Below are 21,958 nucleotides of genomic sequence, written 5' to 3' on the forward strand. Positions count from 1 at the left end.
GTTGAGGCAGGAGTGAGCGCAGCTTCGGCGGTCAACGCGCTTTATTCCGAGGGGCTTCAGATACAGATGACCCCAGCCCTGCATCCGCCCGGAAGGCGTCCCCTTACTCCCATGGGGCACCTCGATACCAGCTGCCCTGCCCTGACTCACTTCTCAGCACCCATCTTACGGCAGTCGGCCCTGGCCTCAGACCCTTGGGTTCAGATCCCAGGCCCTCCTCCTACTCACTGTGAGACCCTAGGCGAGTCCCTTAGCTCGGGAGCCTAATTCCGCTTCATTAACATGGGGGTAATTTAACTACCTAGCTAGACGGTTGCAAAGGGATCAGTTCACTAATTCTCAATGTTGGCAGTGCATCACATTGCAAACTCCCTGCCTCTGCTCCAGAGCTGATCAGAATCAATAAGGGTGGGGCCTGAAAATACTACATCCAAATTTCCGAGAAGCACAGTGTCTAGCATACCCCTATCTCTCCATCTGGGGTTACTGTCACTCTCAGGAAGAAATAATCACCCATTATTCCTTCAACCAGGAAAAGAGATGTCCAGGGCACAGCTTGGGGCCCCAGAAAGTAACCACGGAGGTCAAGATCACAAACCCGTCAGTGTCCAGGGCATGGCCTCGCACACATCCGAGGTTTTCAAGGACCATGAAGTGCCATGGCAAGCATCCTGGCCTGAGGGTTAGGAGAGCTGGATCTCAGGCTCAACTTTAGCCTGAATTCGGTGCGTCATCTTAGACAAATCTGGTGAGCTCTGAGGGCTGGGGTAAGGTTGAGAAACTGTGGGCTCCTCAGGGTGGGGGGTGCTTAGAGAAGATGGGGCCTCTGAGTCCTCAGACTGGGGGTCTTCATCGGGTTCAGCATCCTCCCCAGGCCCAAGCCCTGCCAGCCTCTTGCTGGCCTCCCATAGCCGATGGGCTGCCCGGTCGTCTCGGGCAGCTGGAGGCACCTCTTCCACATGGCAGTTGGCAAAATATCTCCCACTGAGGGGCTCGATGCCCTCTTGTAGAGCACAATACAGGGGTGTCTGGGCACCCCCTCTTGGTGCCCGGAGCACCAGCCAAGCCAATGGGCGCAAAAGTGGGCGCAGCCATCCAGGAACATGGCGCAGGAACAGCTCCGAGTTCACAGGCCCTGTAGGCAGGAAGAAAGAAAGGAGTCGGGCTAGGCACAGTGGTGTGTATTTACAGTCACAGCTACTCGGGAGGCGGAGCAGGAGGATCACTTGAGCCCAGGAGTTTGAGACCAGACTGGGCAACATAGTCAAGCTCTGTCTCTTTAAAAAAAAAAACAACAACAAAAAAAATAGAACAGAGCTAGAAGAACAGGGACAGAATCTGGTTTCAAGGGAACCAGGATAGTATTTACCAGGCATTCGGGGCTTCTGCGAGGTGACTTCACTCATTTCCTGCATGAAGCCTCTTCGCTTCCATCCAGACTGCTTGTTCACCCCACATCCCAGATTTTGTTCATGCTGTGTCCCATGTCTGAAACAATTCTCAGTCTCTCTCCATCTTTTCTTCTAGCTCAAGTCCTGTTCCTTGTTTAACCAGCATTTATTAAGTACTTGCAGTATACCAGCCACTATTTTGGACATTAGTGATATGGAGTGTAATAAAGACTTAATAAAGGCTAATTGTGATCATCGCTATTATAATTACTAATGAGCCTTAGGCAGTGACTATCTAAAATGCAGTATGGTAATATGAATATGACAGATCTTGTTATCCTGGTATAACCTCTTCCATAAGACAAAGTGTTGCTCTGGATCCCCAATTATCTCACTCAGAGTAAAAGCCAGAATGCCTATAGTGAACCTCCCTCCAAACCCTACAGGACACAGTGCCTCTCTATGACCTCACCTCTTGCCACTCTCCCCCCTCACTCTGTTCCAGCCACATTAGCCTTTCTCAAGCACACCAGGAACTTCTGCCTTAGGGCCTCTGCACTTACTTTTTTCTGTTTTGGAGACAGAGTCTCGCTCTGTCACCCAGGCTGGAGTACAGTGGCGAGATCTCAGCTTACTGGCAACGTCCACCTCTAGGTTCAGGCGATTCTCCTGCCTCAGCCTCCTGAATAGCTGGGACTACAGGTGATAGCCACAATGCCTAGCTAATTTTTGTATTTGTAGTAGAGACAGGTTTTCTTTTTTTTTTCTTTTTTCTTTTTTTTTGAGATGGAGTCTTGCTCTGTCCCCCAGGCTGGAGTGCGGTGGCGTGATCACGGCTCACTGCAACCTCCACCTCCCGGATTAAAGCGATTCTCCTGCCTCAGCCTCCTGAGTAGCTGGGATTACAGGCGCGCGCCACCACACCTGGCTAATTTTTGTATTTTTAGTACAGATGGGGTTTCACCATGTTGGTCAGGCTGGTCTCGAACTCCTGACCTTGTGATTGCCCGCCTCGGCCTCCCAAAATGCTGGGATTACAGGTGTGAGCCACCACGCCCAGCCTAGAGATGGGGTTTCACCATGTTGCCCAGGTTGGTCTCGAACTCCTGACCTCAAGTGATCTACCAGCCTTGGCCTCCCAAAGTGCTGGGATTACAGGCATGAGCCACCGCTTCCAGCCCCTCTGCACTTATTATTTGCACTGTTCTCTCTTTTTCTGGGCATCTCCCCAGTGAGCCATGTATCTTTCAGACCTCTGTTCAAATGTCACCTTTATAGATATGTCTTCCTTGACTGCCACACCATATTCCCGTTCCATTTGCCCCTTGCTGTTTCCTTTTTCCTCAGAGCACTCTATCACCACCCCTCATCGTATATATTTATTGGCTGTCTCCCTCTCCTCCAAACTAGAATGCAAACTCTATGAGGGCAGGGTCTTTGTTTTGTTCACTGCTATATCCCCAGCACTGCAAGTAATGCCTGATACAGAGTAGGTACTCGGTAAATGCTTCTTGGATGAATTATTAGCTATCATCATCATCATTATCAGTTCAGTCAGTGCAGATGGCTCCTGGGGGTGGGAATCCAGGTCTTATTCATGGCCATATACCCCCCAGGGCTGAGGACCCAGGCTTGTGGTGTGAGAGGAAGAACCTAAACCAGGAGAACCTGGTTCCAAGAGCAGCAAGGAACAGGTCTCTCCTTGGACTATGCTTCCTTGCTGCCCTGAGATTCTGTGACTCAATGAGGGATGGAGGGTGGGGAGGCGGTAGTGGTGTGGGGGGCACAGGATGGGGCAAGGAAAGGAGAGGGGAATCGGAAGCCAAAGAACCAGACCTCACCTGGGTGGGCTGCATAGCAGGTGACGCCAGTGGCCTCAAGCTGGTTGGCGAGCTCCCGGGCAAACAGTACATTAGCCAGCTTAGTGTCAGCATATGCCCGCAGCTCCTGCCGCCAGCCCACCACTGGGCGGTCCAGGCGTTTGAAGTCAAGACGTCCCCGACAGTGGGCAGCTGAGGCTACCACCACCACGCGGCTAGGGGCACATGCCTTCAGGCAAGGCAGCAGCAGATGTGTCAGCAGAAAGGGACCGATATGGTTCACCCGAAGCAGCAGGTTAAACGCCTCACGGGTCCGGCCACAGGAACTGATACCTGGGGCAGAGGCTAAATGTGAGCGGCTGCTCCAGAAGGAGCTCTGCAGCCTTGGCATCCCTATCTATGAGATGGGAGAAGGGGGCATCCTTCCCATGTGTCCACTGGCCCCAGCAGGGCCCCCGCTGGAGGGGGCAGTTGCCCCTGGCCACCCGCCACCCCACCCCCACGCAGGGCCTGCTGCCCCTCACCGGCATTGTGGATGAGGATGTCCAACCGTGGCTCAGAGCTCAGAAAGGCAGTGGCAAAGGCCCGCACCGAGGCCAGACTGGCCAAGTCCAAGGCCATGAAGATGACCTCATTGTTCCCACTCTCCTGTGGAGAGGCAAGGGCTGGGCTTGTCACCAGGCATCTCTCTCCTCTTCCCTCTCCCCAGGCACCAAATTCTGAGAGTCCATCTCCTACTGTTTACTAAAATCTGCCCCTGTGTCTTAGAGTGTACTAGATAAGTGTGTGGATTCAAATCCTGACTTTGCCTTTTACTAAAGTGTGACCTTGGGCAAGATACTTAATCTCTCTGGGTCTCAGTTCTCTCACTGCGTAAAGGGAATAATAATAACAACAGTCCCAATCTCACTGAGCTTTTGTGAGGATGAAAGGAGTTAACGTGTAAAATACACTCTAGCAGCACTGGGTAGGTACTTGCTATTATTATTATCACCTCCTTTCCCCATTACCATTTACCCTAAAATCTGTAACTTCTCACTGGTCTCCTCTCTCCCGCTCTTGCCCCCCCACTCCAGGCACCACGCAGCCACAAAGGAGTTCCTTCCAAAGGCTATTCTGACAGTCCGGAGCCTACTGAGGGCTGTTCATGGTCTCCACTGGTCTCTGCTGCCCAATCTATAAAATCCAAGCTTCTCAATAGGCTCTAGAATGTTCTCCAGCCCCCTCATTTGCCCATCTTCCTCATACTTTGTGCTCCAGCCTCATTAAATCTTTTTCTCAGTTTTTCAGATCAGTCCAGCTCTCTTTGCCTCAGAGCCTTTGCTTATGCTGTGCCCTCTGCTGTTCCCTTTCCTACTGATCATTAACCCAACTTCTACTGATGCTTAAACGTCTCAGAACTGCAATTACGGCCTTCAGGAAGCCCCTCCCCCACTCGGCTCTGGTGCGCCTTCCTCGGGTGACCCCAGCGCTCCGTGCACTCCCTCTTCGCGCTCAGCCGCCCGCGCCGCGCTCTCCTCCCTGGACCCGGATCCTCCGCAGCCCCTTTGCTGGCTTCTCTGTGTCCCGGCGGGTTCTCGGCTCACCGTCCCACGCGCCCCCGCTGCCTCTCACCTGGCGGAGGTCGAAGGCAGCCGCCTCCCCGCGCTCCTGGCTGCGGCAGGCCAGCACCACGCGCGCTCCCCGGCGCGCCAGCTCCAGCGCCGTCATCTTTCCGATGCCGCTGTTGGCGCCTGCGGACCGCGGGCGGGAGCCGAGCTGAGCTGAGCCCGGCGGGCCGCTGCTACCGCCGGCCCGGCCTCCTCTCCGCGCGCCCCGCCAGCTCGCACTCACCCGCCTCCGCACTCACCCGTGACCACGGCCGTGCGGCCCCGCAGGTTGCCCATGCCGCCGCACGGCGGGGCCTTCACCAGGTTGTAGTAGACAAGCACGTAAGCGCCCAGCAGCAACCCCGCGCCCAGCAGCAGCGCCTCCATGCCGGCCGCGCCTCCCGGCTCCCGCCCAGGCCCCGCACCGCCCTGGATCGCCGCCAGGCGGCTGCCGATCCGCCCTGCACAGGCCTGGAACGGCGCCCGGGCGCGTCAGCCTCCGAAGGCGGAGGCGGGCAGGAGGCTGGGCAGGGGCGTGTGCGCGTGCGGGTGCGCGCCGGCCCTGCGAGCGCCCCCTAGGCGTGCGTCGGCGTCCTGGGGGCGTGTGCCTCTGTGGACACCTTTGAGGTGAGTGTGTGCGCTTGGGCCCTGGGAGCGCCCCCTAGGTGTGTGCCTGTGTGAACTCCTGGGTGTGTGTGTCCACGTACACCCTGTGAGTGCACGCTAGGTATGTGCATGCATCTGCAACGCTTGTATGTGAATGATCTCTAGGTGTGTATGTGCCCATGTCCCTGAGGATCACCCTTTGGGTTGTGTGCGTGCCTCTGGATCCTGTGTGTGAGCTCCTGTAAGCACCTTGTAGGTGTTTGTGTGCATTCTGGCAGAGTCCCTCCAGGTATGTGCCTGCATCTGTAGTCTCTGCCAGTGCATGTGCTTGCATATCTCCATATGTTTACTCGAGGTGTATGTAGCACAGTCCCTCCCTTCTGAAGTTAGGTGTGTACATGAATACACGTGTGTCTTTGAGTCTAGTCCTAGATGCTTTTCCCTCTAAGAACAAATCCTTCTCCTTCCTTCCCTTCTGCACAAATCCTTCTCCTTTCCTTCCTTTCCTTTCCTTCCTTCCTTCCTTCCTTCCTTCCTTCCCTTCCTTCCTTCCTCCCTTCCTTCCTTCCTTCCTTCCCTCCCTCCCTTCCTTCCTTCTTTCCTTTCTTTCTTTCTTTTGAGACGGAGTTTCACTCTCGTTGCCCAGGCTGGAGTGCAGTGGCGTGATCCCGGCTCACTGCAACCTCCGCTTCCCGGGTTCAAGCAATTCTCCTGCCTCAGAATCCAGAGTAGCTGGGATCACAGGTGTGTGACACCACACCCGGCTAATTTTTGTATTTTAGTAGAGAAGGGTTTTCACTATGTTGGCCAGGTTGGTCTCAAACTTCTGACCTTAAGTGACCCACCTGCCTCAGCCTCTCAAAGTGCTGGGATTACAGGTGTGAGCCTCTGCACTGGGCCAAATCCTTCGTTTTCTTATCTTCACATCCAGCCCCCAGCTTCTAGGATTCTTCCGTGTTCTCCCCACACAGGCTAGAGAGGACACTGTTAAAGGTGGCACAGGCAGTTAAGGGGTGTCAGAATTCACTCCTTCATTCCCCCTCTGTATCTCCCTACCTCAACCCCACTAGTGCCTTCCATGGCTGAAGGGAAGCAGGAAGAGATAGAGAGTAAAATCTGTTATTGCCTTTCAGGAGGAAATTTGCCTTTGGAATGGTTCTCATAGGTGATAAGAGACAGGCAGAGAAGCTCCATCACTCAATTACAAGTGACCATGATGGCAGGAAGGGTGGGGCTGGCTAGGAACAAATGGGTAAGACCATTCCAGGGCAGAAGGCCGTTGCCTGATACATTCAGTACAATTTAGAACCTGGTATTTGGCACTTATGGTGTGCCCAGCAGTGTAGTTAGACTTGGAAATTCCGAGTGGAAGATATACAAGTTTCTGTCCTTAGGGAGTTCAAAAAGCCCATTAGGGCACCGGGAGCAGAGTGATGACGCCTGCATGGGCAGATGAAAGTCAGGGACAGACCTCAGATTCCAGGGCCAGTTTCCTATTTAGCTGCACTGCGGATTCGGGTTTCCATTGTAGATGCTGTGGGATGAGGCTGGGGGTAGAATATTCATTTTCTATCCCTAAGGCAAAATCCTGACACACAAGCAGATGCACCTACACAAACAGTGCTGGAATATACACAGAGGTGCTCTCCATCTGAGGAGGCTGACCTCAGGAAAACTTCCTGGAGAGTTTTTCACTAAGATCTGGGAGGAAAGCATGGAATTTGGTTTAATGAAGGTCCCCGGGACTTGAGAATTAAGGTAATGCAGCAGACTCGTTTTTTGATGAGGAATAGCAGTTGTAGAGAAGTGTGACTGCAGATCACATGACTAGAAGTGACAGGTCAAGACTAGATTCCACTATCAGTCAGGGTTCTCTGGAGAAACAGCTCCCCCCGGGCCAGCAGACGCACCCATGTCATTCCATTGTCATCCACCCACCCTGGCTCACTTTTCTCCAACACCTCCCCTACCAAACTTCCCTATGGGAATGAGACCTGTTCAAAAGGCCCCCCACCTGCTAGACCCAGATCTAGGGGAGGGTCTCCTCTAAGGGTGATGACAGGTAGGACAGACAGTCAGAAAACAATTTGAAGTATTTTTGTTTTTTATATACAGAATACAGGAAAGTTTCTGTAAAGTCTAAAACATTACAATTACTATGTACATTGGTACTGGTTGTGGGGGTGGGAGGAGAGGAGGGAACCAGGGGCAGGAGGAAGAGGAGAGAAGTGGCAAGAGAACAAAAAAAGGAGACAAAACAGGTTTACGACAAAAACATTTTTGCTACAATAGACAATTTGAGAAAACGCTCTACCACATGTAGTACTGTACACGGTTTTTAAAAACATTGAAAAAATGTCATCACTAGATGTATTTACACAAAATCCAAATACACTTTTCCTTATTTGAAATAAAATAGATGGACAGCCAGAAAAAGAATTCATTTCTCATTTGTCCATAATACACAGTAGCTACCTGTAGTGCAACCGCTGCAGAAAGGGAAAATAACGTGGAGGGTGGGAACCATGGAAGGAAGGTGGGTAGCGATCTTTATATTAAATAAAACAATGATATTGTATAGATTTTGCTGTATGAAAACTGTATTTTTTCTTTTAATATAAAACTATTGTCACTGCCACAAAATAGAACAAGTTTCTGATTATTTTACAATGGTGGGCGAGGGGGAGGGAGCAGGAGGTGGGTGGGGAAGGGTTTTGTGTTGGAGGAAGTGTCCAGACCCTGGGTCTTTCCCTCCCTGCCCACGCTGTTCCTCAGCTCAGGTCTGCCGCTTTCCCATGAAATGTTGAGTACAAATATATGTGCAAATGCCCCCTAGAACTTGAGAAAAGAAAAAGGATTTTTAAAAAACAGTCAAAAGGTTTTCTTCATTTCATGCAAAGATTGTAGTTGAAGGGTTTCTGGTAGAGTATAGAAAACACCCGGGCTTGGTTTGTGTACATTTTTGCATTGCAGGAGTCTTGGGTGGGTGTACAGGCCAGTGGCGGGGTAGCCGCCAGTCCTAAGGAACAGAGTTGGAGCGCAGCACAGGGCCCTGGTGGGGCTTGAGAGAGAGCTTCTCGGCCAAGACCCCATCCTGCAGCAGGCTGGCATCGCCTTTGGGCTGTTTGGTCGCAAACTCAGTGATGCTGAAGACAAACTGCAGGCAGCCCAGCTTGATGTAGCTGCCATGGTGCAGTAAGGCTGTGCCCTCCCAGCCGGCCCCACTGCCCCCAATCAAGCTCGAGCTGCTGGCTTTGCAATTGCAGGGTCTCCGCTGCGGCCCCTGGGCCTGGGAACTCATCATGGCTGCCTCCTCACTTGGCTCTTCGTCCTGTTTCTGGTGCCGGCGGCGCCCTGGGAAAAAGGGGGATGGTCACAGAAGAGGAACAGTGAGCAGCCAACCCATGTGGGCTGTTTGCCAAGGTTGGGCTCCTGCATCTCCCCATTCCAACTGCTGCATGACTAGGGAGGAAGGATGCTCAGAAAGGGTTGGTGGAGTCTGAAGTCCCCACAGGTGTGTACACACATGGGGGTACTCAGCACTTGCTTCTCTGTGGCCTGCCCTGGGCCCACGAGGAAGTAGAGCTTGGCCAATAGGACTGGGAAGGCAAGAGACAGACCATGGGCAGCAAGTCAGAACCACCCTGACTGGGGCCTCAGCTTTGTGGCCACAGATCTCTGCTCCAACTTACTGATGACACTCTGCACTTTGGCAACAATACTGCTTGGGGGGGTTGGCGGGGTCTTCTCCGAGAAGTCACATGAATACAGCACATTGTCCACCGTTGTCCCATGCTCACTGTAGTTTAACAGCTCATAATGTTTGGTATTCTGAGGAGGAGGAGGGGAGATAAGATGTGTGGTCTGCTGTGTGGGGCCTGGGGCTAAGGGGAGAGAGGACATATGGAGAAGGCCGTGCTACTCTACCTAGAGAGTCCTTACTTGCCTCCCCAGTCATGGCCCCTGTCCTTTCAGAAGGGGGCTGGAGACACCTCCTCAGGGAAGCTTTCCTTCTGGTGTCCCACACTCCCTACTCTCCCACTCCTTCACTCTGCCCTCTCAGCACCGCTCCTCTTGGTATGATACTCACTGGCCCGTGATGATAATGAAATTCACAGGGACACACCCACAAGGCTTGGCTTCCTTCTATGCTGGTCCCCTCCCTTGCTTTAGGGTAGGCTCCCTCTGTTGTGCCTGTGACTAACCTCAGGAAAAATGGTAGCCCTGCTCCTGGGAAGCAGGTAGCTTCCCAGGTAGGATGCTATTTCACATCAAGACTCTCCTCCTCCAGGAATGACAGGGAGGGAAGAAAAAGAGAGGACCCCCAATCCCTCTTCCCTCCCCTCAGGGCACTGAACAAAAACCTACTGCCTGGGAGAGGCCTCAGGTTGGGAAAGCTCCCTCCCACCGCATCTCCGGCCCTCACCTCATCGTAGAATATGCAGGCATGTTTCCCGGACACGTAGTTACAGTGACCATAGTTTGTAAGGCACACATCCATGTCAGCTCCTGCAAGGTGGCAGGAGTAGAGGAAAAGGAAGGCAGAGAACAGATTGTAAGGTGCATGTGTCGGGGAGGTAAGACAGGGAGAGAGTTAGCTTCTGGGTTGGCACTAGCAGAGACTTCAAGGGTGAGTAGCTCAGGGCCCTCCCCTTTTATTTTTGAACAAAAACTGTTGTCTTTTCCAAGCTCCTGATAAAGAACAGCTGTCCCTGCCAGCTGATCTGCTTTAGAACATGTGGCTGCTACCCAGAAGGGAAGAGTGAGCTACTGAAGAGGATGGGATATTTCTATGAAAATACAACATCGGGGTGCAGAGCCTAGAAAATCTTATCACCTTAAAGAAAGGGAAGTTTCTAGGGTAAGGGCTAATCTGTCTGTCCTTCTGTACCAGATACAGAGCTATCGGTCTCTAGGACTTTTAGGGAAAACAAAACAAAACAAAAAACAGATACAGGGCTAACTGAAGATTGGGTATGTGTGAGTCTATCACTCTTTCAAAGACCACCAGGGACAAAGCATCTGCCTTCTCCTTAGGTTCTTCCCTGCAGTGTTTAAAGTGCCTCCCTGGGCAGTAGTCAGAGCTGACTTTCATCTCTGCTGTTGCAACACTGGGCAAAGACAAAGCAAAAGGGCCTGAACAAGGGAAGACAAGGAACTGATTGTCTCTTTTATTTTTGAGACAGGGTCTCACTCTGTTGCCTGGGCTGGAGTGCAGAGGCACAAAAAGGATCACTGCCTGGACCTCCCAGCCTCAGGTGATCTTCCCACCTCAGCCTCCCAAGTAGCTGGGACTATAGGCATGTTAGCCCAGCTAATTTTTTATATTTGTTTTTGGTAGAGATAGGGTTTCACCATGTTGCCCAGGCTGGTCTCGAAGTCCTGGGCTCAAGTGTTCCTCCTGCCTTGTCCTCCCAAAGTGTTGGGATTATAGGCGTGAGCCACCGTGACTGGCTGATTGTCTCTATTCTTAGTTTCTCTTGTCTAGCTATCCACTGATTTAAAGCAGTCAACTCTGGAAAGGGCTTCCCTCACCCCTTTCTAACTTCTGTGGGTAAGGGTGTCAGTCTTTAGGGCTGAACAGATTCAGTGTCTCTCCCAGCTTCCTGGCTGGCTCACCTGTCCCGATGTAGAGGGTTCGATAGCACATGTTCACAGCTCCTCCCAACCCTAAGAGGGGGTAGAACACAGCTCGGGCCTGTACCTCCTTTCTTTGCACTACAAGACAAACATAGGAATAGGATCATTCAGAAACTCAGATCCTGTGATCCAAACATAAACCAACAAAATCTGGACCTTTGGCTCATGGCCTGGAGAAAATCCCGCTGGATGACTCATCTTTCCAAACTCACATCCAACACTGAGCTGCGGCAGGGTAAGGCTTTCTCTCCCCACCCACAGCATTTCCAACACAGGGTACAGAGGACCATCTTTGAAGATGGTCAGAGAAGTCAGAGATGACAGTACTGTGTAAGTTCCTGGGCTCCTGGCTGGCTAATCCGGGATATTCCAGCTGGTACTATAGGGAGAATATGGAAAAACAGACGGCATGGACCAGTGTTTCTCAAACTTTAATGTGCATAAGAATCGCCTACAGATCTTGTTGAAATGCAGATTCTGATTCAATAGGTCTGAGGAGGGGCCTTAGCTCTGCATTTCTTTTGCTGTTTTCTTTAAAAATAGGCAAAAAACCAATGCATTGAGCTCTGCATTTCTAACAAGCTCTCAGGGGCTGCTGATGCTGCTGGTCTGCGAACCACACTTTGAAGCAGCAAGGCTCTTAATGGCCAATGCTCAGACATATCTGAAACAGAGTTAACCACTTGGGGAAAATTTCCAGAAGGTTGGCCTAGTGTTATTCTATTTCTCAACTTGAACTTGAAAAGTTCCCTCTTGGGAAGCCATTCTTTTTAAAATTTTATTTATTTATTTACTTATTTATTTGGAGACAGGGTCTCACTCTGTCACCCAGGCTGGAGTGCAGTGGCACAATCATAGCTCACTGCAGCCTTGACCTCCCAGACTCAAGCGATCCTCCCATCTTAGCCTTCCAAGCAGCTGGGATTACAGGTGTATGCCACCATGCCTGGGTAAGTTTAAAATTATTTGTAGAGATAGGGTCTCACTGTGTTGCCCAGGCTGGTCTCCAACTCCTGGGCTCAAGTGATCCTCCCGCCTCAGCCTCCCAAAGTGCTGGGATTACAGGTGTGAGCCACTGCACTCAGTCGGGAAGCCCTTCTAATTCAAATATTTGAAAGCAAGTAAGCAGAAAGTACACTACATATACCCAAAGGTACTGGTAGCTGCTTTGCTGTGTCTCGAAGTGGACTTATATATGAAAGAAAGTTACAGCAGACTTCCCCAAGTCTGATCAGAAAGCTGTGGTTGCCATCTTGTTCCTGCTCTCTTCAGAAAAAAACCATGGTGCTTTATTAAGCCCATGAAAAGCACACAAGGAGGTTTGAGATACTGGAAGCTCAGATTCTCCATGGAGGCAAGGTGACCATTCGCACACGTAGAGGGGAGATCTGATGATGTGGTGACAGGTGTGTACATGCGCACCTTCTATGTGGTGCCCTCCAGAAGCCAGCTGATGTGTCCCGACACTGCCCGGTGAAGGTTGGACCCGGGAGGGGAAAAGCTGATGTATTCTCTGCAAGGCCAGAAACTTGATCAGCTTCTCGTCCAGCATATTTATCTCGATTTCTATTAGCCAAAGAGAAAGATTAAAAAGCAGCTGAGATGGGAAGTGGAATGTGGAAGCAAATCAGGGTCACAGAGCAAATAGTTTGGCATTTCTAAAATCCAGCCAAGTGATTTTTACTCAAACAGCATTGAGTGCAGAGCGTACAAGGATCTGCAGCTGGGCATCTCACTTGCCATTTGCAGTGAGATGGGCCCCAATGCAGCCTGTGCAGCTGCCTCCTGTAGTTGGGTGGACTGATTTTAATTAAAGTGCCCCTAGAAAGGCAGAGTGGAATAAACCACTTGCCTGTCTGTGGGGGAGGGCCTGGATGTCTGATATTGAGACTTGAACTTTCTACCCACCTTGTGTTCACAGAGATCAAGATCTGTCCCTGTTCTCCTGGACTTTGGGGGTTTCCCACAGATGAGGTCCCTCCTTTGGGAGTGAGGATCTTAGTTTTATTCTGCAAATCCAGGTGATCTGCCTAAAGTGATTTTGTTCTCGTCTCACTGGTTCAGCTTGGCTCTGTCCTCCCTTCATCTTTGATTATGTGTATATGCACATGTAGAAGGCAGAGCTACAGAAGGAGCTTTCTTTTTCACCCCGCCCCCCCATCCAAAAGGATACTCCTCATTCCCATCTCCCCCTAGGCCTCTGGGATCAGGTGTCCCTTCCCTCCCTTTCTGAAATGAGCTGAATGCTGTATAGGAATAGCACCTTCAACATAGCAAACGGTGGAACAGCAGCAGCTCATTCACTCACCTCCATTGACATCCATAAATGCTCGAAGTGAGTTGGTGAGGTCCACCATGGCAGTAGAGTTGGCTGGGAAAGAGGGTACGGTTAAAGCGCTTCCTATGGATAACGTGCCGGGGCTGACCTTGCCATCTGGGGACGGAGCAGGAAGACTGTTACTTACGTCGCCTGAGGGAAACCCACCGTCCAATCCCCCACTGCTGAGACAGGTCTGGATTTCGGACCCAAGGTGATGTTCCCTTCTTGATTCTCAACCCATAGGCTCTGGAACTCCTAGAGCTAAAAACGTGTGGTGAGGAAGGGCAGATGGAACGACAAAGCACCCAGGCACGCAGGAGTCTCCAGAGCACTGAGAACCACTGAAATCCACTGCTCTGGGGAAAGTGGTGGGGCAGCTTCATTCTTTGGGCCATGACCACCTCCCTGCTGCCTCTACTTTAAAATAAGTAGTGCCTGCCCTTATAATTCTTGCCTACTGAAATATGACTCACGGCGTGGAGAATCTACCCACGCTGGTTTTAAGCGATAAACAGAGATAGGAAAACAGCCTGGGAGCGGGGCCATCCTGGGACCAGGGGCTCCCATGCAGAGAAATCACAATCATCTGGTTACCGAGACTCCCAGCTGACTAGGAGGCCGGCTTCAGTTCAGACGGGAGAGACCACAGAGGGTTCCGGCAGCATCTGAAACCTGGTTCAGATGCTGGGGTCAGCAACTTCAAGGTCCTGAGTGCTCTCTGGGGACAGCTGAGAGAGCAGGTCCACAGTAGGCCAAGTACAGACCTGAAGGACCGCCCTTTGGCATGTGGCCTGAGGGCACGCTTCTGGGCTAGAACAATCCCTGTGGGCATCCCACTCTACAGCTCCTCTGAAAGACAGTGCTGCTGTCTAGCCCTGCTTCCTGACATGGAAGTTCATCAGATTAACTCTTTCTGAGAATATGCATCAGGCATGAATCCATTCTTTTGTGTGGATCTGACAATACTGAGGCCATCACGCAGAACCTCAGGCTGATCATAGTAATTCCAGAGAGCACCCTGCCTTCTTTTAAGGTGACAGAACAAAACAGGCAGAGGCCTAGGCCTGGAAGGTATGGGATGGAGTCAGGAGACCTGGGCTGTGGTTCCAATCCTGCCACTGACTCAGTAGGTCATTTTAAGGAAATCACTGAAGCTTTCAGAGCCTAAGCAGTCCCATTTATAAACGGGACAAGTTAACATGTGCTTCCTCTTCTATTACGGAAATGAGAGTAAGACAAACAATACAAAGGCCAAAGTCCTCTGAAGTATTCACAGGGATATAAGTGCTTTTAGAATCTTATTTGCCAGAAAGAGCATAAAATTATTCCAAATCAACCCAAGGCTGAGCAGCACTCACCTGACGATGGCGCTGGTGAGCTGAATCGTTGGTTGGCTGTTGTGGCCAAGATACCATCTCCTGCTGCTTGCGGGGGAGTGAGCACCCGGGTGGCGTTTGGGGGTGAGCCCAGTGGCCTTGAATCTGTCAACGGAGGTCCTATCTGTGATTGGACAGTCTTTCTTTGCAAAGTGCTGGTGTTCTCGATGCTGGCACAAGAGCTGGGAATGGAAGGGGGCAGGCTTGGGACAGGAACCAAACTCCTCTGGGGGCAAGAGCTGGGGCCAGTGGCATTCTCTGTCTTCACAATGATGCCGACGGTGTGGTTCTGAAGGCCCCCAGCCGCTGGTGGCGTGAGGGGCCGGGGCCAGCCTTGCCGGTGTGAGAGGCCTGGTAGTGGGGTGTTAGCGCCTGGAAGTCGCCGGGGGTCCGTGGAATCAGTAGGGCTGCTGTAGAGGTGTGGGCCATTAGCTTTCACCTCTGTGTTCACTGGCCCATTGGCAGTCCCACAAGGGGTTTTCTTGGATTTTTCCGCACAAGAACTGCAGCCGATGTCCTCTAGGGCTGGGGACTGGTGGGGTGGAGAGCAGCTCAGGGAATTCTGGGTGCTAATCCCTGAGGGGCAGGACAAGGGGTAGTGGGAAGGTGTAGGTGTCTTGTCAGCTGTTTGCAGGGAGGTGGTGACTGAGCTGTCAGTCACAATAACAGGCTTAATATCAGCCTTCTCTGTCTGTTCAGAGTCCCAATGCGAAGGCATCTGCTTAGCAGATAAATGTTTCAATATGCTGCACTGGAGCGCAACAACACTACAGAGCCACTGCAATGGAAGGAGAGGAGAGGGGGGTGAGAAGCCTGAGAGGCGCCGGTCCTTCCTGCCACAGTGGCCAGGGCTGCAGCAGAGCTGACAAGCAGTTTCCGAGGTCCCATCATGAATGCTCACAAAGGGTGTGCTTGACTCCTGATAGAATTCCATTTCCATTCCCAAGCAAGACTTATAGGTACCCTCAGCAGGCCAACACTCCCTCTGGCCAACAGAGCTTGGGATCTGCATTTTGACTCTGCCTTTAAGGCTTACTTGTGACCAATATTCAGCAATTACCCCGAGCACCTGTGGTATGTCCAGCACTATCACCTAACCTCTCTATGGGTCTACTCATCTCTTTCTACAGTATAGATTTGCCCATCTCACAGTGCACTGGGGTAACGATGGAGAGAAGCAGACCAGTTGCCTTTGTAGATCTCTTACTTGCCTTTGGGATTTGAGCCAGAAGTTCCCCCTGGAATACTCAACTCTTGAGGGGTTAGGATGAGGGTGGGTGGGGACTGGAATGAGAATGACACTGAGGCTACTTCTGATAACAGCTGTGGTGACACAGAAGGAAGGTTGGATTTGGAATCCCCGCCCCACCTTCACTCACCTCTTGCTGCTCTGCTTGGGTGGCTAAGTGCTCAGAGTTCAAAAGGTGCATCTGTGATTCCTCAGGGATCCCATTGCAGATCAGCTCCCCGTCCCGAATGGCCGCGGGTGCAATGAGAGGGGGTGGAAACTGGTACTGAGATTTTATAGCATCAGGAACCTGTTCAGGATAGATAGAAGGAGGAAGGAGAGGGAGATAGTTCCAACATGTCTAGTTGATTCTGCCCTGGTATGCTGTTCTGTCTGTGGTGCTGGTGCTCAAGGGACCATCCACTCTGGGGTCTGCTGAGGAAAAGGAGGCTCAGAAATGGAAATAGCAGGTGGGGCCTCCACTTTCCTTCATCAAGGTCTAAGGCCTGCAGAACACAGAAACCACTGCGTTCTGTCTTCTGCTTTAGCCTGAAAGGTGTAAGACTGGCACTGGACAGGGCTTCAGAGTGGTACTCTGGGTTCTTATTGCTCAGTGTCAAGTTTGGGAGTGGGTGAGCAGTCACTGAGAGATAAAAATGCTTAGGCCAGGCGCGGTGGCTCACGCCTGTAATCCCAGCACTTTGGGAGGCCGAGGCGGGAGGATCATGAGGTCAGGAGATCGAGACCATCCTGGCTAACATGGTGAAACCCCATCTCTACTACAAATATGAAAAATTAGCCGGGCGTGGTGGTGGGCGCCTATAGTCCCAGCTACTTGGGAGGCTGAGGCAGGAGAATGGCATGAACCCGGGAGGCGGAGCTTGCAGTGAACCGAGATAGGGCCACTGCAGTCCGGCCTGGGTGAAAGAGCGAGACTCCGTCTCAAAAAAAAAAAAAAAAAAAAAAAAAAAAAAATGCTTGACATGAGGCCTGGCTCATGATAAGCACTCCATCAATGTCAGTTTCCTTCATCCATTCATTCATGACTCATGAAACAACTAAAGACGTCTTTGTGCAACAAAAACAGAAGCCACACTCTGAATCACACCATGTAAGAATGAAAGAGCCACACAAGCAAAGAGTCATTCATACATTCAACCAACATTTATTGAGCACCTCCTGTGTCTGGGCACTGTTCCAAGTTCTAGAGATCCAGAGATGAATAAAAGTTAAGACTTGCCCTCAAGGAGCTCACAGTCTAGTGGGGAGATAAACACAGAAATATTACAACACAAGGTAATGGGTTCTAGAAGAGAAGCATGTCTAAGGTGCTATTAAAAACATAGTGCTTATTTTAGTTTGGGGGACAGGAATTTGGGATTGGGGATGATTTTATAGGAAGTCAGTATTTGGGTTGACACTTGGAAGTTGAGAAGGATCTTCCAGGCAGATAAAGGAAAAATAAGGGAGGGGGAGAAGCATGTAAGGCATAGAGATGTGATAGCACTTTGTGGATTTGGAAAACATCCAGAGAACCAACAGATTTGGTGACAAAATCCTTATGGTAGACAAGGGAGAACTGAAAATGGTTCCCAGAATTTTAGTTTGAGGGACTGAGTAGTGATCATTGTTATTTACTGCAATAGGAGATACAGGAGGAAGAGCAGATGTGGAGAGGCAGAAGACTTCTGGTCTTATGGAGGAGGTTCATCCTGAGATATCTGTGGGATGGGCAGGCAGATATGAGTCTGGATATAAGGAGAAAGGCATGGAATATGGAGTTGAGAGTCATCACCATGGGCTGGTGATGGCCTTAGCTGGTGCCATGGGCTTTCTGAGATCACCCAGGAATGAGAGGAGGAGGAATAAACAGTGGACTAGTTTATTCCACTACCCCTGGGGTAAGAACAGGATACCCCTGGGGAAGAGTGAAGGGCTAAGTGGAAGAGAAATTCGCAACGAAGATACAAAGTTCTCAGCAGATTTTTCCTGAATTGCTAGAATCAAGTGTAAAGGCTAATGTTCCAGGAGAGAGCTGGGGTTCTTCACCAATGTTCTATGGTGCTACGGTCCTCATTTCACTCTCAAACTGTCCAAGTACAAAATGCTTTGCAGGTAACTCATGCCCTTTGAGTTTCCTCACTAGAGAAACACTTAAAAGGTGGGAGGGGCACCATACAACAAGGGGATTTTTATCAAGGTCTCCTGGCCCGTTCACTTCAGCAGCTATGCTCTCTGACAAATCTACACAGTGAATTACACAGTCTGGATTACTTTTAGATCTGTTTCACTGAGATGAGGCATACTACCTTTAATATCATCCATTTCCGAAATATTTGAATCTAGTTTTGGAAAACCTGTGTCTCCACTGATGTATAAATATTTGCCCAGTTAAGTTTGTTATACAATTTTCAACAGTTAGCATCTTGCTAGTGCTGATACCCACTGAAGGTGATGGCAGTGGTGTGACTGACCTTTTTTTTTGAGACAGAGTTTCACTCTTGTTGTCCAGGCCGGAGTGCAATGGCGCGATCTCGGCTCACTGCAACCTCCACCTCCCAGGTTCTAATGATTCTCCTGCCTCAGCCTCCCGAGTAGCTGGTATTACAGGTGCCTGCCACAATGCCAGGCTAATGTTTTATATTTTTAGCAGAGACGGGGTTTCACCACGTTGGTCAGGCTGGTCTCAAACTCCTGACCTCAGGTAATCCACCTGCCTTGGTCTCCCAAAGTGCTAGGATTACAGGCGTGAGCCACCGCGCCTGGCCAGTGTGATTGATTTTAAAATGTGGCTGCCACCAAGTGGCCATACTTGAGAAGTGCTGGTTTCTGTTAGCACATAAGACTGTGGGATCATTTCAAAAGAGAAAAACAAGTTTATATATGGGTATATAGTGTTGGACCCTCTAGGTTAACTGAATGAGGGGATTGAATGGTTTAAAAACATCCTCACTACCACCAAATGCTTTTCAAGGAGGGAAATTTTTCTGTCAATCTCTGTAAACACACTTTGGCCAATGTCAAGAGCATATAAATATTAGGCATTATTACAGCTATGCCACAATTTGGAGCATTGGTGATATATTAACAGCAGCCTGGAAAAATAGATTCAAGTTTCCTTTAGATATTTTCCACTTAAGTTCCTGAGCTGGGATTAGCTCTTCACCTTCCACATGGCTCTTTCTGCTTAATCATCCCCACCTTTACTTTGCCTCTTGGACAGAGGCCATCTAACAGGAACAGATAGAATGAGCGTTAGGTGAGGGTGGCAGTAACAACAGAGCACATTTGGGTTTGGTGGGATGGGCTGAAGAGTGCTTATCCTTTGGAAAACTAGAGACTGGTAGACTTCGAAGGCTAACTTGAGGTTCGGCCCTCATAATCCTGACCATCATCCCCAAGTATTAAAATGAAGGTCACACTCATTACTCACGAGACACCACAAACCTATTTCTGGGGCTTCAGTTTCCCTGCCTGTAAAATTGGGACAGTGATCCTCTGTCTAACCCATGATGGCAGGCAGACTACCATCTTGCCTGCACCTGATTGTGACTCACCTTCAAGCTTCTTCTTTTGACCGACTGGAGCACACGCCGGTTAGGGGGGTGCTTCTTGTGGATTCGGTTCAGGAAGTCCACTTTGACGACATGCTGCGAAACGGTGTCCTGGAAACGATCAAACACCTGGCACCGATTGCTCAGTGTCATATTCTTCTGGTTCAGCTAGGGACAAAGCAGACACAACCTTGTGGTGAGCCTCAAAAGGCACCTCCTATCCCAGTTAACCCCATTCCCTGTGTTTAAAAACTAGAAGCCCTCAGCCACATAGGTTCCCTCAATTAGGGACCAGGATGTCGGCACTCTTTGTCAGAGAGCAAGGGAACATGGATGAGACTTCCTACTCAGCCCTGCCCAGTCCAGTGGAAGAGAGCCAATATGTTCCTGTTCCCTAGAGAGCCTTAAGGAAGGCAGGAGAAATTAGCCAAGACGTGCCCTTCCAAATTCGGCCTCTGACAGTCTTCTGTTCCAGCTCAGAGAAGCCTCTGTCAGGGCCCTCTAATAGCAGCACAGGTTTCAGAGAAGACGTATGCTTCGACCCTTAAGAGACCCACACTCCCTTCCCAGGAAGGGCCTCTCTCTAATAGGAAAAGCAGGACTGTGTCCTACATAGGAGCTTGGCTGACAACTGGGTCAGAACCAGAAATCCGTGTGCTCTGCTCTACTCCTACTCCGTGGTACCAAGGAGCATAAGTTAACCCATCTTGATATCAGTCTTCCTCTACTGGAAGGGAAAACCTTGGATTGCTCTTAGAAGCCAAAAGGAGAAAAGAAAGAAGAGTTTCTGCAATAATATACGAAGGCATACAGAAATTATGCCACTTTTCCTATTCTACATCTGGGCTCCTACATTTTAATTCAAAAGAAAGGACCTGCTGTGGCAGCTGCCTAATTCATAAATCAGGAAAAACCTTTAAGTGGCTAACAAAAATTTAACCCACTAAGAATTTCTCAACTGCTAGAAAGCTGCTCTTTAAGTTTCACATTTGGGTAAACTGCTTATGGTCATTTTTTTTCTGGTTCATCAGGAAGCAAAACAAGACTAGGAGAGAAACAAGGAAGCAAAACAAGACTAGATTTTCCTCCTAGAAAAATCTTTGACTGGCATGAGTCAAAAGAACACAAAGTAACTCTTCTCTTCCATGTGTGCAAGTCTTTAACCGAGGTTCCTCTCAGTGCAAGGTCAGCAGCACACTGCCATGAAGGCCAACGGTCATTCCATGGTTATCATCATTTGACAGACAATGTCTTAAGCAGTAGCCTTTTTAATTTGGAAGGCTGCTCTTATGAGGGAGCTCCTCCTCCTCAAATCCTCTCCCATTCAATCTTGTGAGTGACTGTTCTAACTGCCTATAAAGAGATGTCCTAAACTTCTTTTGGAGATAGCAAGTGACAGCTCTTTTCTAGCCTCAGTCTGGAAAATAAACCCAAGACTCTTGGAAGAGAAAGCAATAGGACCTTCACACTATTATTCATTCAACAGCTTATTTACTAAACTTCATTTGGTGCCTGGGACACATGTACCCCAGACAGCCAACGATTTATTTCCTTAAGGTTGGATCTAATATACTCCCCTTTTAGGGCTATAACATCAACTGCTTAATTCCCTATAAGTCACTTACAAACAACCAAGCACTAGTGAGTTAAGTCTGTATGGGCAGCTGAAACAAAACATTGTGAGAAAAAGCATAGCTGAAATATGTCAAAATGATCAGAATTGAGTAGGGTGGCCTGCAGAAACCAGTACCTATGACAATGTGGTGAACTTGGCACCAAGCTGACCTTAATATGCTTTCTGCTAATCAGTCCACGCTCCAGCTATGCCCATTGAGGACTGAATGGACACTGCTGTGCTTACCACCACATGTTCGATGTGATTCGGACACATCCATCTGCCCAGGGGCATGGCAGTGAGCGGCGGCTCGAGGCAATCCATGTGAAACAGGAGAGGGCAATAGTCACACTGGATGAGAGGAGCCACACGGCAACTCCTGCAAAAAAGAGATGTTGGCCATTTCTGTGGCAAGAAAAGGAAAATTCAAACTAACTTTGACCTGTGGAACAGCCTCCCCTCCTTGATCCTAACATTCTCCCCTCCTTGATCCTAACATTCTCCCCTATCTTCCTCCAGTGATTCAGTTACATTTATGATTAGAAAGATGGATGGGGCTGGTGCGATGGCTCACGCCTATAATCCCTGCACTTTGGGAGGCCGAGGTGGGCGGATTGCCTGAGGTCAGGAGACTGAGACTGAGACTAGCCTGACCAACATGGTGAAACCCTGTCTCTACTAAAAATACAAAAAATTAGCTGGGCGTGGTGGTGGGCACCTGTAATCCCAGCTACTCGGGAGGCTGAGGCAGGAGAATTGCTTGAACCTAGGAGGCCGGAGGTTGCAGTGAGCCAAGATGGCGCCACTGCACTCCAGCCT

The 21,958-nt window shown here is 50.2% G+C and overlaps 2 protein-coding genes across 4 annotated transcripts in view, besides 4 other annotated features; both read right to left on the minus strand.

The window, feature by feature from the left end:
* Positions 24 to 5,322, minus strand: DHRS13 (dehydrogenase/reductase 13). The gene is made up of 5 exons (NM_144683.4): positions 5,061 to 5,322; positions 4,826 to 4,944; positions 3,736 to 3,859; positions 3,233 to 3,544; positions 24 to 1,135 (listed from the first exon to the last, which is right to left on the minus strand). Exons 1-5 carry the CDS (start codon positions 5,185 to 5,187, stop codon positions 684 to 686), a joined length of 1,134 nt encoding a protein of 377 aa, NP_653284.2. The 5' UTR covers positions 5,188 to 5,322; the 3' UTR covers positions 24 to 683.
* Positions 4,221 to 4,413: a silencer, noted in NCBI's record as "fragment chr17:27228996-27229188 (GRCh37/hg19 assembly coordinates)". NCBI's record gives its function as "represses an EF-1alpha promoter that drives an FKBP-Casp9 reporter gene in an ReSE screen in HepG2 liver carcinoma cells {active_cell/tissue: HepG2}" and the evidence as "EXISTENCE:reporter gene assay evidence [ECO:0000049][PMID:32094911]".
* Positions 4,915 to 5,544: a silencer, noted in NCBI's record as "silent region_8360". NCBI's record gives its function as "represses an Ori minimal core promoter by ATAC-STARR-seq in GM12878 lymphoblastoid cells {active_cell/tissue: GM12878}" and the evidence as "EXISTENCE:reporter gene assay evidence [ECO:0000049][PMID:35858748]".
* PHF12 (PHD finger protein 12) overlaps positions 7,493 to 21,958 on the minus strand; it is a 46,269-nt gene continuing 31,803 nt past the window's right edge. Inside the window, exons 6-15 of one of the 3 annotated variants that reach the window (NM_001033561.2) lie at positions 21,386 to 21,518; positions 19,528 to 19,692; positions 16,122 to 16,280; positions 14,725 to 15,520; positions 13,355 to 13,480; positions 12,469 to 12,612; positions 11,026 to 11,124; positions 9,833 to 9,915; positions 9,099 to 9,237; positions 7,493 to 8,760 (exon numbers count right to left, since the gene is read on the minus strand). In NM_001033561.2, coding sequence (NP_001028733.1) covers positions 8,426 to 8,760; positions 9,099 to 9,237; positions 9,833 to 9,915; positions 11,026 to 11,124; positions 12,469 to 12,612; positions 13,355 to 13,480; positions 14,725 to 15,520; positions 16,122 to 16,280; positions 19,528 to 19,692; positions 21,386 to 21,518 — 2,179 coding nt within the window. In that variant the 3' untranslated portion in view covers positions 7,493 to 8,425. Of the gene's footprint in view, positions 12,613 to 13,354; positions 13,481 to 14,386; positions 15,521 to 16,121; positions 16,281 to 19,527; positions 19,693 to 21,385; positions 21,519 to 21,958 lie in introns of those variants that run through there. The other 2 variants (NM_001290131.2, NM_020889.3) reach the window with 2 other exon arrangements.
* Positions 8,089 to 8,589: an enhancer, noted in NCBI's record as "H3K4me1 hESC enhancer chr17:27232864-27233364 (GRCh37/hg19 assembly coordinates)". NCBI's record gives its function as "activates a minimal SCP1, AML or CMV promoter by ChIP-STARR-seq in naive H9 embryonic stem cells {active_cell/tissue: H9 hESC(naive)}" and the evidence as "EXISTENCE:reporter gene assay evidence [ECO:0000049][PMID:30033119]".
* Positions 10,974 to 11,268: a silencer, noted in NCBI's record as "tiled region #2481; K562 Repressive non-DNase unmatched - State 14:Gen5'". NCBI's record gives its function as "represses a minimal TATA promoter and a strong SV40 promoter by Sharpr-MPRA in K562 cells {active_cell/tissue: K562}" and the evidence as "EXISTENCE:reporter gene assay evidence [ECO:0000049][PMID:27701403]".

This window comes from Homo sapiens, chromosome 17 (assembly GCF_000001405.40).
Source record: "Homo sapiens chromosome 17, GRCh38.p14 Primary Assembly".
In the NCBI taxonomy this organism is placed as follows: domain Eukaryota; kingdom Metazoa; phylum Chordata; class Mammalia; order Primates; family Hominidae; genus Homo; species Homo sapiens.

Coding starts and splice junctions, on each gene's coding strand:
- DHRS13 (NM_144683.4), bottom strand. CDS start 5,187: ATGGAGGCGCTGCTGCTGGGCGCGGGGTTGCTGCTGGGCGCTTACGTG. Junction 3,860..4,825: donor CTGCCTTCGACCTCCGCCAG/GTGAGAGGCAGC, acceptor GCCTCTCCACAG/GAGAGTGGGAACAATGAGGT. Junction 1,136..3,232: donor CTGCTATGCAGCCCACCCAG/GTGAGGTCTGGT, acceptor TCCTGCCTACAG/GGCCTGTGAACTCGGAGCTG.